The sequence below is a fragment of the Homo sapiens genome, chromosome 5, assembly GCF_000001405.40.
Source record: "Homo sapiens chromosome 5, GRCh38.p14 Primary Assembly".
Classification (NCBI taxonomy): domain Eukaryota; kingdom Metazoa; phylum Chordata; class Mammalia; order Primates; family Hominidae; genus Homo; species Homo sapiens.
In genome coordinates, this window is record NC_000005.10 from 13724667 (window position 1) to 13740774 (window position 16108).

At 40.2% G+C, this 16108-nt stretch overlaps 1 protein-coding gene across 11 annotated transcripts in view, besides 6 other annotated features; it reads right to left on the reverse strand.

Annotated features, from left to right (window-relative positions):
• The window catches only part of DNAH5 (dynein axonemal heavy chain 5), a 321491-nt gene that overhangs the window by 34339 nt on the left and 271044 nt on the right, over positions 1 to 16108 (reverse strand). For 9 of the 11 annotated variants that reach the window (XM_017009177.2, XM_005248262.4, XM_047416886.1 and 6 more), the window contains 5 exons: positions 12586 to 12829; positions 11152 to 11266; positions 10465 to 10655; positions 4773 to 4894; positions 2841 to 2990 (listed from right to left, as the gene is read on the reverse strand). In XM_017009177.2, coding sequence (XP_016864666.1) covers positions 2841 to 2990; positions 4773 to 4894; positions 10465 to 10655; positions 11152 to 11266; positions 12586 to 12829 — 822 coding nt within the window. Of the gene's footprint in view, positions 1 to 2840; positions 2991 to 4772; positions 4895 to 10464; positions 10656 to 11151; positions 11267 to 12585; positions 12830 to 16108 lie in introns of those variants that run through there. The other 2 variants (XM_017009181.2, XM_017009182.2) reach the window with 2 other exon arrangements.
• Positions 12669 to 16108: part of a biological region, named in NCBI's record as "meiotic recombination hotspot J", that runs on past the window's edge.
• Positions 12669 to 16108: part of a meiotic recombination region, noted in NCBI's record as "this region was identified as a recombination hotspot within the HapMap CEU population", that runs on past the window's edge. NCBI's record gives the evidence for it as "EXISTENCE:nucleotide sequencing assay evidence [ECO:0000219][PMID:20981099]".
• Positions 12669 to 16108: part of a meiotic recombination region, noted in NCBI's record as "this region was identified as a recombination hotspot within the HapMap YRI population", that runs on past the window's edge. NCBI's record gives the evidence for it as "EXISTENCE:nucleotide sequencing assay evidence [ECO:0000219][PMID:20981099]".
• Positions 13232 to 16108: part of a meiotic recombination region, noted in NCBI's record as "meiotic double-strand break mapped by DNA meiotic recombinase 1 chromatin immunoprecipitation followed by single-stranded DNA enrichment and sequencing in the germ cells of some male individuals with the PRDM9 A/A, PRDM9 A/B and PRDM9 A/C genotypes", that runs on past the window's edge. NCBI's record gives the evidence for it as "EXISTENCE:chromatin immunoprecipitation-seq evidence [ECO:0000229][PMID:25395542]".
• Positions 13411 to 14710: a meiotic recombination region, noted in NCBI's record as "hotspot J1 sub-region, crossovers mapped in sperm cells of males of European ancestry". NCBI's record gives the evidence for it as "EXISTENCE:DNA detection assay evidence [ECO:0005519][PMID:18650392]".
• Positions 15148 to 16108: part of a meiotic recombination region, noted in NCBI's record as "hotspot J2 sub-region crossovers mapped in sperm cells of males of European ancestry", that runs on past the window's edge. NCBI's record gives the evidence for it as "EXISTENCE:DNA detection assay evidence [ECO:0005519][PMID:18650392]".

A 16108-nucleotide genomic window follows, 5' to 3' on the forward strand; every position in this document is an offset into this window, starting at 1 on the left:
TTGGGTCATAGAGGTGAGTCCCTCATGAATGGCTTGGTGCTGTACTCATGAGAGTGAGTGAGTTCTTCCCAGATCTGGTTGTTTAAAAGTATGCAGCATCTCCCCCACTCTCTTGCTCTGGCTCTCGCCATATGACATGCCAGCTCCTCCTTCACCTTCTGCCATGATTGAAAGTTTCCTGAAGCCTCACCAGAAGCTGAGCAGATGCCAGCCCCATGCTTCCTGTACAACCTGCAGAACCATGAGCCAATTAAACCTCTTTTCTTTATAAATTACCCAGTCTCAGATATTTATTTATAGCAACGCACAAACTAACAAACCATGTTAGATAATTCACCTCATGCAACAGATATAAACCTTGGTCCATGACCCTCTCCTCTGTCCCAGGCAGTGCAACAGGTTTTAGGAACAGATCAGTGGACAAATGGCCCAGCCCTTATGAAGCTTGCCCCCCACCTCCATGCCAGGATGAGACATACATTGAGCAAGTAATAGCAAAATAACTAGTTTGAAGGATTTATGACTTGCAGGGTGACATGAAAGTATGAAACTGATTAATCTTGCAGGAATATGTCAGAGAAGGCTCCCTTGTGAAAGAAGCATTTAAGCTGTTGCTTGGATGATGAGTGGGATTTACTGAGGCAAAGAGGACAGCTAAGTGGGTCAGAGCATGTGCATTCTATGCAGAAGAAACATATGCAGAGACCCTGAAGGAGCAAAGAGCAAGTCACTGGCTAGGGACAGGAGGACACCCATAATAACTGATGTAAGAGTTAATTCAGGTGTGGCAAGCCAGGTTTCTGCACAGCCTGCCAGCCTTTAAAGAAAGCCAACACCCCACTGTGGAGTGCTGCATTTTCATACACTGCTCTTCACACAGCTCTGCAGAACTTGTTCATCCCAATATGTGGTCCCAATGCAACAGATTCAGCCTTTCAATGGGGGAGAAAATGAACAAATAACCTGCACACCTGTGCCAACCTCCCTTTGTTGAGTATTTTTTTTTTGAGATGGAGTCTCACCCTGGCACCTAGGCTGGGTGCAGTGGCACGATCTCAGTTCACTGCAAGCTCCACTTTCCAAGTTCAAGCGATTCTCCTGCCTCAGCCTCCCAAGTAGCTGGCATTACAGGTGCCACCACCATGCCTGGCTAATTTTTGCATTTTTAGCAGAAATGCGGTTTCACCATGTTGGCCAGACTGGTCTTGAACCCCTGACCTCGTGATCCACCTGCCTCAGCCTCCCAAAGTGCTGGGATTACAGGTGTGAGCCACCGCGCCTGACCTGTTGAGGATTTTTAAGACACAAATGTGTACCTCTCAGGAGACACACTCGGACAGTGCAGCATTTTTGCAATCAGGCATGCACAGATGTGGACAGTCACACTCAGCCAAAATGCAGAGAATAAGAAATGCATATAGCCTGATGCTGCCTATGGGGAATGGGATTGAATGTATCTACATTGTAGACCTACTAATATGCTTCCCAGAAAGTTGTCAGGTTGAAAATCACAAAAGGATTCTAAAAGGAGAATAAGAACTTGAGAGAACATTTATCCAACAGGCCTTCTAAACCTTGTTTAGGACCTGGGCACTATAAGGGCCATGGGCAGATACTGCAGGACTTGAAAAGCCAATGAATGGCACCATATTTGCATTTCTTCTAGTGTGTGCAGAGTAGACTAGAGTATACAAGAAGAAATGTAAGGAGAACAGGTATGAGGCCATGGCTGTGGTAAGTCCAGGGATCGGAGAAGCTAAAGGGATCGGATGAAGATAAAGTTACAAAAAAGAGTTACTTAAATTTCAGCATTGAAGCAAATATAGCTTTCTATGGAAAAAGATAAGAAAGAGACTACTCAAACATTTCTTTCCACACTGTCCTTAAATAAGGCAACCATTTCACAATTCAGTTGGGCAGGATAAAAGTAATGAAACTGAGAAGAAAAACTGAAAGGAAAGGTGATCTCAGTGCCCCGAACTGTGAAACTCATTTTTCTTTTCTCAATAAATCATTGAATCTGGTTGTTTTCATGATTCCACAGTACCTAAGTGGACTTGGAGGTAGTTACTCCATAAGTTTTTAACACTCCCTCTGGAGAATGAAGGAGAAAATATCTTACATTCTATTATAAACCCAAGGCTATTGCTACTCCACAGCTCATTTGGAAAAGCCCTTAAGGAGTCAACCTGGGCTGAATATCAGCGTTAAACTTTTCATCATAAAGGCAAGACACAAGTCCTTTTAGTGGGTAAAGTCCCATGATACTAAGCCAGCAAATTAAAGGTCTTTAAACAGATGAATCATCTGGAGGCAGGATTCACATTTAAACCATATGTGAAATTCAGTTGTAAGACAACCTTACTGACATCTAGAGCTGTGACATTTTTCTGGGGAAATGACTACGGTTTGGGCACACTGTCCTTCCCCCACTCTATTCACCCTAATGCCTTTATGTTCTTCCTGCTTTCAGAAACACTGTTTTACTACCAGCAAAATGGAGCAGCCATATAATCTTTGATTGAATATAAAATGATATAAAAGAATAACGCATTACCTGTATGTTATACCTATATGCCAACCTTAGAATCATGGTTTTCTCATTTACTCCTATTGTAGCCATAGGTCAGAAAAAGTTACTAAATCACTTAGCCCAAACATATGCCTCAAGACATCTATTTGTTTACTTTTCCATTTTTCACACATATTGCTAGAAAATCACACAGAGGCCTACAAGAAAATTCTCACTGGAATTCACATTTAAAATATTTTTTTTAATTTAAAAGAAAATTCTCTTTAAAAATATTCTCTCATTTTTCTCTTTAATATGGACTTTTTACCTGGGCGATGGTTCTGTCAGGACACCAGGATCTAATAAGGAGAAGACGTCTGAAGCAGTCAAGAGATTTATCATAGGCATTTGGAAGAGGTTCCTCCTCCGGGTTTTCCTTATCAAACCAAATTTTCCACATTTTCTCATTTCTCGATATCTGAAAATACCATGGGATAAAAACTGTGTCATGCCACCCAACAATCTTTCAGTAACAGGTCATAGATATGTTTCATCAAACCTCTGACCTCTCCAGATATGTGTAAATTATATTCCTTGGCTATTTTTTTATTTTATATTATAGAAAGTTTGACAGTGTAAAATCTAATGTCATTTGCTCCAAAGTCAGTCTATACTAACATCAGCCTACAACTACATTTCAAAGTAGGGAGAGTCATGGGATATTTAATTTCTTCTATGCCTTTGTGGTAACAAATTTGTAAAGAATACAACAAAATCAATGGAAATTCATTTTCATTATTTCAACGAAGTCCGATTTGCTCCACAAAATCTTCTCATGTCAGGAACCAAATCTCATTCACTTATGTTTCCTCATTTCCCAGGACCACTCCTGACCCAAAAGAAGACATTTAACACATGTTTATTATTGAATGAACAGCTTTTTGATCAATACTCTATTAATCTAGAGTAATTGGAAATACGCCAGTTAATATCATCAAATGAATGATCAGACACCTGCTACCCTTAGGCAACTGGGAAAGAGTAAAAGGACATAGTACATTATCCTCTGCAGCTTAAAACACCAAAGAGAGGCAGGAATTACATGGTAAGCAGATCAGAAACACTGAACAAACAAATAATGTCTACAGATAAATATCATCTTATGTTATCTGGTATATTCCTTTTCATCAAGGGTTCCAATGTCTTTCTTGGGATATAATCAAAGGCAAATCATTCCAGGTTCATATTTAGAAAGTACCATGTAAGAATAAAAATAATAACTTCTTTCGATCTTGAAAGACTACTTAATATTGAGGGGTTTCGTGCATAAGATATCATCTCCAGAAGGTAGCAACTTCAATATCAATGGTCTAGGCAAGGCCACTGGGGGTAATCCTATTGGGGAATAACCCGAAAGAATGGTTTGTACCCCTAAGTACATGGTAGTAATAATAAACACCACCAGTGATAAGCCAAAACATAAAAGGATAGCAGAACATAAGCAAATGGTCAACTTAAACTGAGGAAGTCAAGAACCAACTTTAAGACATTTCCTCGTCAAAAAAAGCCTTCAACTTATAGCTGGATAAAGCCACCCTGCTGCCAAACTCATTTCTCTATGGTCACCTGATTTTCAATAACCTGTTTCTTGGCTTGTCCCAATTCAATTCTCTACACCCAACTTCCATGATTCCAGAACATGCAAAGTTCATCAGGAGCTGGCTGATTCTAGAAAGATGATAACTTCTAAAGATAAGAGGCCAAGTGTTTACAGGAGATTCATACCCAGGTGCCTAACTAAGTCAAATAATGGGAAGGGCAGGAGAGGAAGAAGAAGAAGAGGGAGAGAAACAAGAGGCAAGAAAGGAAATTTAGCATTTAGAGGCAAGCTGTTCATATGTCTTTTCATTTAACCTCTAGAAAGAAGGAAAAGGCTTTTTAAGTCTATCTAATTATTTAATCTAATTGGATCTATCAGTTTTTCTACTTGTGGACATCCAATTGGTGATACTAACATATGGCCCAGGATGGCACTGGTTAAAGTTCCTGGGCACATTTCTACCTGCAAGATCAGTTAACGATGAGCAGAGAATGCCTTATCAGAGTGTAAGTGTGCTTTCAAGAAGGTCAAGCACATGTAATACCATTTTAAGAGTGACAATATTAAGAACTATCTCTCTTCCACAAATATTGTACCTAGTGATAAATCAGAAAGCTGCTCAACATGACATCAGCTTAAGTTGATTCAAAGCACAGTTACCTGGTCAAGGACATCTGAAAACTGTCTGAGTTTGCTAAGTTCCACCAAATTCAGCCATGTTATGTCCAGGATCCATTTTGATGGTTTTGGAGGACAAGCTTTAAGGTCTAATGAGGCACCTCCTTTAAAATTAAATATTAAATTATCAGATTTCCCTTCCTTCACTATAAAACAATCTATTTAGTAAAATTTGTATTATTTTAATTTCAGTTATTTTACTACTTTCACTTTTTTAAGCACAGAAATATAAATCATAGTGAGAAACATGCAACATTTAATAAATCAATAGATAATTTTAGAAAAAACTCATTTAATCATCAGTAATATAACTTTGGAACCAGGCAGATGCTGGATTCTGTCCTAGCTTCCCCTGGACAAGGTCTGAGACAAGCCATTTCATTTGTCTAGGTCTCTAATTCCAAATTAGTAAAATAAGAATAATTAAACCTGTGTCACAATGTATGCGTGTAAAGCACACAAAACAGGATAGAGGACATGGCAGAGGGTCACTAAATGAGCATCAATTTTCAATATTAAGAATTGCCCAATATTAGCACAAGCTAATATTCAATACACACTTTATCTAGAAATGTTAGTAGTACTAGATGTTTGAAGGATTCTCTTCTATAAATCAGTATATTACTTACATCTACCTTGAACACACCCCAAGGGTTCCATGCTGTGTCACTTATGCCTGTGGTTATACCCTAAGCTAACCACAACAAACATTTCCATTTGGTACTGACCCTTATCTTTTTACTGATGATTTACCAAAGCTCATGTAACCCACGTAACTCTGACAGCAATGTAACAAAAATGACACCTTAAAAATGTTTTTGTTGTCCACTTCAGAACAACTGAATGTGTGAGCAATCGTTATTTTAAGAAAGAGTTAAGAATAAAGGATAAAGTTAAGAATTAAGGATAAAATATACTATTTAATAAATAACATCCATTAAAGAATATCAAGGAAAATATGCTCTATGCATTATTCTTTCTTTCTTTCTTTCTTTTGAGATGGAGTCTCGTTCTGTAGCCCAGGCTGGAGTGCAGTGGCACGATCTCGGTTCACTGCAAGCTCCGCCTCCCAGGTTCATGCCATTCTCCTGCCTCAGCCTCCTGAGTAGCTGGGACTACAGGCACCCGCCACCACGCCCATCTAATTTTTCATATTTTTAGTGAAGACGAGGTTTCACCGTGTTAGCCAGGATGGTATCGATCTCCTGACCTCGTGGTCTGCCCACCTCGGCCTCCCAAAGTGCTGTTATTTTTTTTTTTTTTTGAGATGTAGTTTCACTCTTGTTGCCCAGGCTAGAGTGCAATGGCGTGATCTCGGCTCACAACATCTGCCTCCCAGGTTCAAGCAATTCTCCTGCCTCAGCCTCGTGAGTAGCGGGGATTACAGGCATGCATGACCACGCCTGGCTAATTTTGTATTTTTAGTAGAGGCGGGGTTTCTCCACGTTTGTCAGGCTGGTCTCGAACTCCCGACCCCAGGTGATTTGCCCGCCTCAGCCTCCCTCCCAAAGCACTGGGATTAAAGGCATGAGCCACCGCGCCCGGCCTACGCATTATTCATAAAATGATAAAATCAATCCATTTGGCCACTTTAAAAATCTTTGTTTGAACAGAGTAGGTTATAAACAAATGACAATACTCAAGATATTTATTGAGCTAATCTCTATTTTATCCAGGCACCATGTACACTACTAAATTGTTATTTTTTGCCAAATCCATCAAAATATATTTACAATGAGGTCAGTATGGCCTTGAAGCCAATTTGAAGAAAATATTAGCTCGTAAAATGAAAACAGATTGTTTTAACACCAGTGAGCAAAGACCTAAAGACAATGCATTGTGTTGAATAAAATTTTGCACCTTAGCAACTGTCCATTTTCCAACAAATTGAAAAGAGTAAGACATCCACCAGAGGGTTAGGGAAAGGCTATTCACAGAAAGGAAAGAGTGTTCCTCGCGGGCCAGAGTATTATTCATTGTTTAGTAGCCGGTAACTATGTCATGACTAACCTGCCGGCTCCCAAAGTACACAATTAGGCACAAATAGTGATTGTAACTTGGGGGAGAGGACATATTCCTGAATAATGTGGTAACAAATTAAATAGACCCTTGATGAATAAATAGCTGAAAGGAATAATTCGAAATAAATTGTCCAGATAATTGAGAACTGTGCTGTTCCCTTCTTTCCTCAAACTCTTGCTTTGGAAAAAAAAAGTAAGTTGGAGTTTTTACCGTAATACTTTGTGAAAATGATACATGCTTATAATGAAAGTTTTATACAAGCTATGCCACACAATCATAAATTGTCACAGCTAAGGCAGACTTAGAGAATAATCTAGGCTGAGCCTTTCCCATCTTAGAAATGACTGAAAGACCACCATCCAAATACTGTTGAGGCCAAGAGCAGTGTCCCACATCTGTCATCCCAGGACTTTGGGAGGAAAAGGCAAGAGGACAGCTTAACCCAGAAGTTTGAGACCAGCTGGGGCAACATAATGAGACTTCATCTCTACAAAAAATTTAAAAGTTAGCTGGATGTATTGGCATGAGCTTGTAGTCCTAGCTACTCAGGAGGATCACCTAAGCCCAGGAGTTTGAGGTTACAGTGAGTTGTGATTGCACCACTGCACTCTAGCTTGGGTGACAGAGCAAGACTCTGTCTTCAAAAAAAAAAAAAAAAAATGGAAATCTGTTGTGGCTATTGGGCTTAAAAGCTGCTACAACAGAATATCACATTCTAGGAGGCACTCTGCTTATCAACAACTGAAATTTATTTATCACAGTTCTGGAAGATGGGAATTCCAAGTTCAAGGCACCAGTGATTTGGTGTCTGGTGAGAGCTCACTTCTGGTTCATAGAAGACCATATTCTCACTGCAATTCTCACATAGTGCAGGAGCTGGGGTCTCTCTTGAGCCCCTTTTTTTGTGAGAGGGAGTCTTGCTCTGTCACCCAGGCTGGAGTGCAGTGGCGCAATCTCGGCTCACTGCAACCTCCGCCTCCCAGGTTCAAATGATTCTCCTGCTTCAGTCTCCCAAGTAGCTGGGACTACAGGTGTGAGCCACCACTCCTGGCTAATTTTTTTTGTATTTTAGTAGAGACGGTGTTTCACCATGTTGGCCAGGCTGGTCTTGAACTCCTGACCTCAAGTGATCTGACCACCTCAGCCTTCCAAAGTGCTGGGATTACAGACTTGAGCCACCGCACCTGGGTGGGCCTCTCTTATAAGGGCATCAATCCCTTATCTTGACTCTGCCCCTATGACCTAATCACCTCCCAAAAATCCCTCCATCTCATGCCATAACCTTGGGGTTTAGGTTTTCATCATACGAATTTTAGTCGGATACAAACATTTGCACCATAACACTATCTAAATAACATTTTAAATTATGTTAAATGATTTTAAAGTCCTTACAGAGAGAGTTTATATCACCAGGTAGCTCTCATCAACCTAACCATTGAAGGGCAGATTTGCAACATAATCCTGCTCCAAAGTTTGCTCTGAAACTGTTTCATAAAGCAGTGTTACAAACAGCTGTTGAAAGCCAAAGACCCATGACAACCAGTCCAACCCATACAAGCATCAGACTAATCAAAATATCTAAAGTGATGAAGATAATATGATGGCCATCATTTGCTAAGCATATCCTATGTATCAGGATTTACATAAACTGTGTAAATTCTCAATAATCCTACTATGTAGATTTTACTATCCTTGTATTATAGACAAGGAAACTGGAGTTTGAAAAGGGTAAATGACCTTCTCAAGATCAAGAAAGTGACAAAGCCAACACATATTTTAACTCTCAACTTCCTAACTCTAAATCTTATGTTTGCTATCATGAAGACAAACTGTGAGATGCTTCACAGTATTTCAACAAGAGCTGGACACTCTCTTCAAAGTTATTTCTATGTGGAAATACATTTCATGCCTGAGTTGAGAACGACAGGAACAACAATCCATTGAAAAGCTCTAGAAACGGGGGACTAGAGTCACTGAGGCCAGAAATTAGTAACATATTAAGGGTTCACCAGAGAAGGCAGCTCTTACATCTACACATCTTTCTCTCCAGAGACTCATCTGTCACTTATTCTGATTTAGGAAATTTGGAAAATAAGGTTCAAATATAGCTAAAGAGTAAGTGTTTAATGGTTAGACACAATTAAAGAGAGAGAGATTGTCTATAATTTAATCATTTCTAAGTTCAAATCTAAACAGATGAGTCTTTGTTGCTACTATAAGATATATATATACACACACACATATGCATATGTATATGCATATGAAAATGCATTTGCATATGTATGACTATGGACCTATAACCCCCACCAGGGCACAGCATGTGTATACCTACATTCCTTCCCTACTGTTCCCCTAGGGGTGGTCTTCAAGTTCTCCTACAAACCTACTCTCCATGTTAAGCATGAAAATCTCCTGCTAGATAAAATTATGTCTTATCTCTAAAGACTTGGTTTAGAAAGGTATACTAGATGAATCTATTTAGACCCTGGCATCATTTTCATAGTGTTATGGGATGAATATTGTGTCTCCCCAAAACTCATATGTTGAAACCCTATATCTCAATTCTGACGGTCCTGGGAGGTGAGGCCATTGAGACATAATTATGATTAGATGAGGTCATGAAGGTGGAGCCCTTAGGAATGAGATTAGTGCCCTTATAATAGTCACTAGAGAGCTTGCTTCCTCTTCTCTGCTCCCCAGCATGTGAAGATGCAATGAGAAGACAGTTGTCTACAACCCAGAAGAGGCTCCTCACTAGAATCCACTGTGCTGCACCCTGATCTGGGACTTCCAACTTCTAGAACTGTGAAAAATAAATGTCTGTTGTTTATTAGCCACCCAGTCTATAGTAATTTCTTATAGCATTGAGAACTAAGATACACAGTTACTTCAAATATTTTTTTCAAGACATTCAAGAATGTGATAGTGAATTTATGTTTTCCAGCCTTCCGCTGGGCTGTTTCGTTTGAATGGCCCAGGGGACACGGCTGTGAGCAATGCTTCAGTAGATGCAGAATAAATCATCCACAGGATGAGCTGCACAGGGTCTTCATCCGCTTCACTCATCACCCAGTCACTTTGTTTTATCTACATCACACCAGCCTCACTCCACCAGAGGCCCTGACCTGATGCCATCCCTTCTGCTTCAGCCCTCTTCCCTAAATGTTCCCATGGCCAGCACCTCCTGCTCTTTCAGGTCTTTGCCCACCTACCGATCTCTTAGGAATGCCACCCCATTAAATATCCCATTGAATACCTCACTTAAAGCTTGAAGCTCCTCCCACTTCATAATGCCCTGTAACTTCCCATCCCTCTCATCCTGCTCTGTTTTCCATAGGACTTACCATCTTCCCACTCACTATAAAATTCATTTATTATTTTATTTTTTTTCTGTACCCTCCCTAAATCTATATATGCTTTTCAAGGGTTTTTGTTCACTGACATGCCCCAAATACCTATTCCATGCCCAGGTATACAGTAGGTCCTCAATAGATAGTTATCACTCAAGAAAAGAACAAATAAAATATCTCATCTAAATGCAGTCTTACATAATGCAAGGCAATTGTTATAACCAAAAAATGTACTGCAAAGGGCTTTCACAATAACTCCTCCATCTGCACCTGTGCGCTATAGTCTCTATTCTTATATTGACCTTTAATAAGAGTGAGAAACTCTTCATGCTTGACTCGGTTCCTCTGGATGTCAATCTTTAGGGTAAGCAACAAGGTGAACAGGAATTTGTGCTCCTCGTACAGCCCTCGGGCAGCATACTTATAAACCTCGTAGGTCATGTGCTCGATGATATTAGCAATCCTCTTGCTTGTAATCGGGCTCTTGACAGACCTGGTGAATAGAATATTTAAATCAGGCTTATCCCACTGCCCTTTTCAATTGTCTGTAAAAACAATTGTCTTTAATGGAAAATAAGTAACTTTGGAGGAAGAATTCTTATTTTTACACATCAAGAGAAAGCCTCCTAAATCTAAAATAACAAGAATTCTCTCAACATGAAATAATATAACAGAATCCCGAATGTTGTCTAAATCAATTCTACCTGCAGGGCATCATCACTCACAACGATATCTTGGGAATTTTCTTGTTTAACAGAAACATACGAAGCCAAAGGAATCAAATCAATGGATAAATAGTTGGTAGAGTTTTCTCTGGGCATAAAATGGCAAATCAGAATGATTTGTTAACACATTGGTAATTACACTGATCTGAGATTTAAAAAAGAAAAAGACTCTTACTAACAAAGGAGAAGGAAGTTATAAATGTAATGTCATCATTTTAGTGCACAGATATAGAATTCAGCTTGGCTTCCCGCGTACAGACGTACCTGGCTAAGGAAAGGTCAAATAAGCCCAGAAACTGGCGAAGCGAAGTCTGATACATCTCATTAACCAAGCGCATCTCAGTAATGAGGAAGTAGAGGATGCTGCCCCGCGTAGCCACTGGAAGACAAAGAGCAAGGTTGCATGTGCTACGAGAGAGGAAAATAAATGATCCATGCAAAGAGATCAGCCTAAACTCTAAATGAAAACAACAACTTTTATTTTAGGCAGTGGCTGCCTACCAGATACGGGATACAAAGCGATATTCATTTATTAATATATTTATTATTTACAACATTTTGTAAGTAATCAACTATTTGTATTTATTAAATGGTACTTCTCATTTTAGAATCTCTAGACCCCTCGCAACAATATTTTACTATTTTTACTGCAGGTAGAAAAGACAATCAAAGAAATTTCAAAGGTTGTGTTAGTTTAACACCCAGCAAGCGAGGTAGCCATTAGGGACCTCATCCTTAAGTTCCAGGGAGAAGCCATGCCTAACCTGGGCTTCAAGTCTGCAAAACAAGCCATTGCAAAGATGATGCTTCTGCCTCTCTAACAATAAACGACACTTTAATTATTATTATTATTTTGTTGATACGGAGTTTTGCTCTTGTCCCCCAGGCTGGAGTACAGTGGCGTGATCTCGGCTCACTGCAACCTCCGCCTCCTGGGTTTAAGAGAGTCTCCTGCCTCAGCCTCCTGAGTAGCTGGGATTACAGGCGCCCACCACCATGCCTGGCTAATTTTTTTTTCTCTTATATTTTTAGTAGAAACAGAGTTTCACCATGTTATCCAGGCTGGTCTCATCATGTTGACCAGGCCTGTCTCACACTCCTGACCTCAGATGATCTGCCCACCTCAGCCTCCCAAAGTGCTGGGATTATAGTCATGAGCAACCATGCCCGGCCGATTATTTGTTAAGAGGAATAATAAAATACTAAAAGATAGCCGATCCAACTGAATTATTTAGCAGGTTTCTCTTGTACAAGGCCAATTTGCAAATTGGTGGCTGAGGATAAAAATCTCCCAAGAGACCACAGAACTACCTTCCTAACACAAAAACTATAAACAAAATACCAACATAGTGTTACCAAACGATAAATAACTGGTGCACTAATTCCTCAGATTTCCCTAATTTGTAGTCATCAGATTTTTTAAAATTCTCCTTCTTTACTTTCTAACATCAAAATAAGTTCATGAGAACCTTAAAGGATTTACCAACTAACATGAATGACAAGTACCCAGGAAATTTATACCATTATAAAAAATTTTTGACCTCCATTTTACGGAATATTTCCCAACAGAAATTCCACAAAACACCTCCACTTTGCATAATCATTTGTATAACTCCCTCACATCCTTCCATTTCTCTAATTCTCATTCCTCTCTCATTTCATTTTCCTGTGACATTTGTCTTTCATTACCAAACTCACCAGGTCTGTATTCCTCCCGGGCTGAGTTAATTTGAACTTCTGTCTCAGCAGAAATTTCTAGCTTCTGTGTCACCTCCTCGGCTGTCCTTTTTGTGTTACTCAGCACGACAATGAGACTTTCATCTTCTACCAGGGACCCCTGGGTACTTGTCAGGCGGTAAAGCAAGTTATCTTCTAGTTCCTTCATCCTTCTTTTGTTTGCAGTTACATCTTCCATCAGATGAGTTCTTTCTTTCTCCAATTCCTATTAATTTGCATAAATATATTTTCTACCTCAATTAACAACTCTTGTTGAGTATTCCTTAAGACGTTAACCTACATGGCTGCTTTGAAGCTCCCATACTGTATTTATCATAATCAACTGCAGGAAATATGGACATCAAAAAAGAAGGGCCGGGCGCAGGGGCTCACACCTGTAATCCCAGCACTTTGGGAGGCAGAGGCGGGTGGATCATTTGAAGTCGAAAGTTCGAGACTAGCCTGGTCAACATGGTAAAACCCCATCTCTACTAAAATACAAAAAAAAATAGCTGGGCGTGGTGGCGCATACCTGTAGTCCCAGCACTTTAGGAGGCAGAGGCGGGTGGATCATTTGAGGTCAGGAGTTTGAGACCAGCCTGGCCAACATAGTGAAAACCTGTCTCTACTAAAATACAAAAAAATTATCTGGGCATGGTGGCTCATGCCTGTAGTCCCAGCTGCTTGGGAAGCTGAAGCAGGAGAATCCCTTGAGCCAGGGAGGCAGAGGTTGCAGTGAGCTGAGATCATGCAACTGCACTCCAGCCTGGACAACAGAGTGAGACTCTAACATAAAATAAAATAAAAAATAAAATGTTAAAAAAAAAAAAAAGGAGGAGGAGAAGTAACAGAGGAAGGAAGAATAGGTGCCAAGCAACATGAAACCTGCAAAAAATACTACCAGCATCCCTTTAATCACCCATTTATTTTCTCAAGTCACATCAGTTTCAAGTGATTGCTGTGATTATATTTAATATTATATATATAAAATCTTCTTTTGAAGGGGAAATATATTTGAAGACAAAGATATATATCTCTGATTAAATAGGTTTACTTCTGTCTACTTTCTTAAGAGAGTTCCATTATTGTTTAAATGTGGTTATTTCAAACTTGCTAATTGAAAAAGTATCCAAGTCTGTGAAAAACTACTCTCCGAAATCTTAGGCAAGCAACTGAGCTGCAACTGTGAGCACGTTTAAATTGAAAAGTCTTCTTGGCCTGCTGTTCTCTCCAAAAGCAGAAAAGTTTTGCATCTTTTCTGAGGGAGCTTTGGAGACAGCTGGGAGAGTGAAGCCTTGGAAGACTATTATCCTTATTGGCCTTTTCTTCCTCTTGGCAGCTTGGAGAGGGAGAGACAGAGGAAGAGAAGGACAGAAAAGATGGAGGTGGTGGCAGGGGTGGGAGAAGGAGAAATACGTGTGACACCAAGCAAGCCACAGGAAGAGGAAGCCCAAAGGCAGGGAGACAAAACAGAAATATGCTTCTGGCACCAAGTCAAATTGTACATGGATATCAACTTGCTATATGAGAGACTCTATCTGTGATGCTAAAGAAAAGAATCAAAAATGGAAAGAACAATAAAATGATACGTACAAATTTAAAATGAAACTTATGTATTAGAGAGTTTATTTGAAGAGCTTCCTGGATGTGGAGTCCATTGACAATTTGCCTATGTTTAACTGCGTTTATAATGTACAATTCATTATAAGTAAAATACGGGGAAACCAGGGTTAAGTGCAGGTGACAAACAGCAAAATCACAGGAGCTTTACCTGTGATTTTGACAGTGCGTTTGACAGTTCTGACTGGACTCACGGCAGCTACCTGAACGTATGGTACCAAGCTCACATCTCTAGACCAGCTTCAGAAATCTACATTCTCAATTGGGTACTCTGGATATGACTCAGTAGGTGATATGGTTTGGCTCTGTGCCCCCACTCAAATCTCACCTTGAATTGTAATCCCCACAATCCCCAAGTGTCAAGGGTGGCACCAGGTAAAGGTAATGGGGTCATGAGGGCAGTTTCCCCCATGCTGTTCTCATAACAGTGAGTGAATTCTCACAAGATCTGATGGTTTTATCAGCATCTGGCACTTCCCCTGCTTGTACTCACTCTGTCTTGCCACCCTGTGAAGAAGGTCCCTGCTTCTCCTTTGCCTTCCGCCATGATTGTAAGTTTCCTGAGGCCTCCCCAGCCATGCAGAACTGTGAGTCAATTAAACCTCTTTCCTTTATAAATTACCCAGTCTCGGGTATTTCTTCATACCAGTGAGAGAATGGACTAATACAGTAGGTTTTATAGATTCTACTCCCTATTGAGAGAGCCAGAAATCTAGAGTGAGGCAGTGATGAATCATATGAAACCATATAAAACATAATGGACTATTCACTGATTACATGATTAATTACACAATTTACCTTTGTTATGATCCGGTATGCACACAGACATGGAGGGAAAGGAGAGGCCAGACCCAGCCCAAACCGTCACTGTTAACCATTACGCAAGTTCTTCCCTTTAGTGGCTCTTACAATTATTCATTTTTAGTACTTAGTTTATGCTTACGAGAAACTTATCCCCATACTACTCCATGAATTACATTTTGTTTTAAACAGTATCGCTATGCTGATGACTCCCAAGTTTATATCTCAGCTTCAGATCATACCTCCTTTCAACTCTCCACTTGGACATCTAAGAGACTTCTCCTACTTAGCACCATCAGCAAAACTAAACGTCTGATCCTCCCTTCAAACATGCTCAACCTCACCCTTCCACAGCCCAGCAAATGGCAACACTATTCTTCTAGATGCTCTGGCCAAAACCTTTGAACCCTGCTTGGTCACTTTCTTCTCCTCAAATTCAACAACAAATTCATTGGCAAGTTCTATGACCTCCACTTCAAAATGAGATTCAGAATCTAATCATTTCTCACTCCCTCCACTATCACCACCCTGGTTTAAACTATCATTGTCACCCCCCTCTAAATTAGGAGGTCTAAACAGGTCTCCCTACCCCAGCCTTACCCCCTGGTCTACTCCCAGCCCAGCAGTCAGAATGATGCTACTAAAACATACTTCCTCTCTCAAAACCCTCCAGTGGCCAATCTTTCCACTCAGAGTGAAAGGTAAAGACCTTACCAAGGCCTATAAGGCTCTACCAAGCTGCCCCCTCCTTCATTACTGCTGGGACTTCATTTCCTACTTTTCTCCCCTTTTTCACTTTGCTCTAGCCACGTTTGCTATTTCCTACATCAGTGGTTTTCAAATTTCAGTGCATTAGGATCACCTGGAAGGCTTGTGCTGTAGGCCTGGAACAGCATCTGGGAATTTGCACTTCTAATCCCATGTGATGTGATGCTGCTATTCCAGGAAACATGCTTTGAGACTCACTGTCTTAAACACACAAGGAACTCTCTTGCCTCAGGGCCTCTGCATTAGCTGCTGCTCTGTCAGGTCTGTTCTTCCAAATAACTCACTCTCTTCCCTTATTCAAGTCTTCCTCAAATGT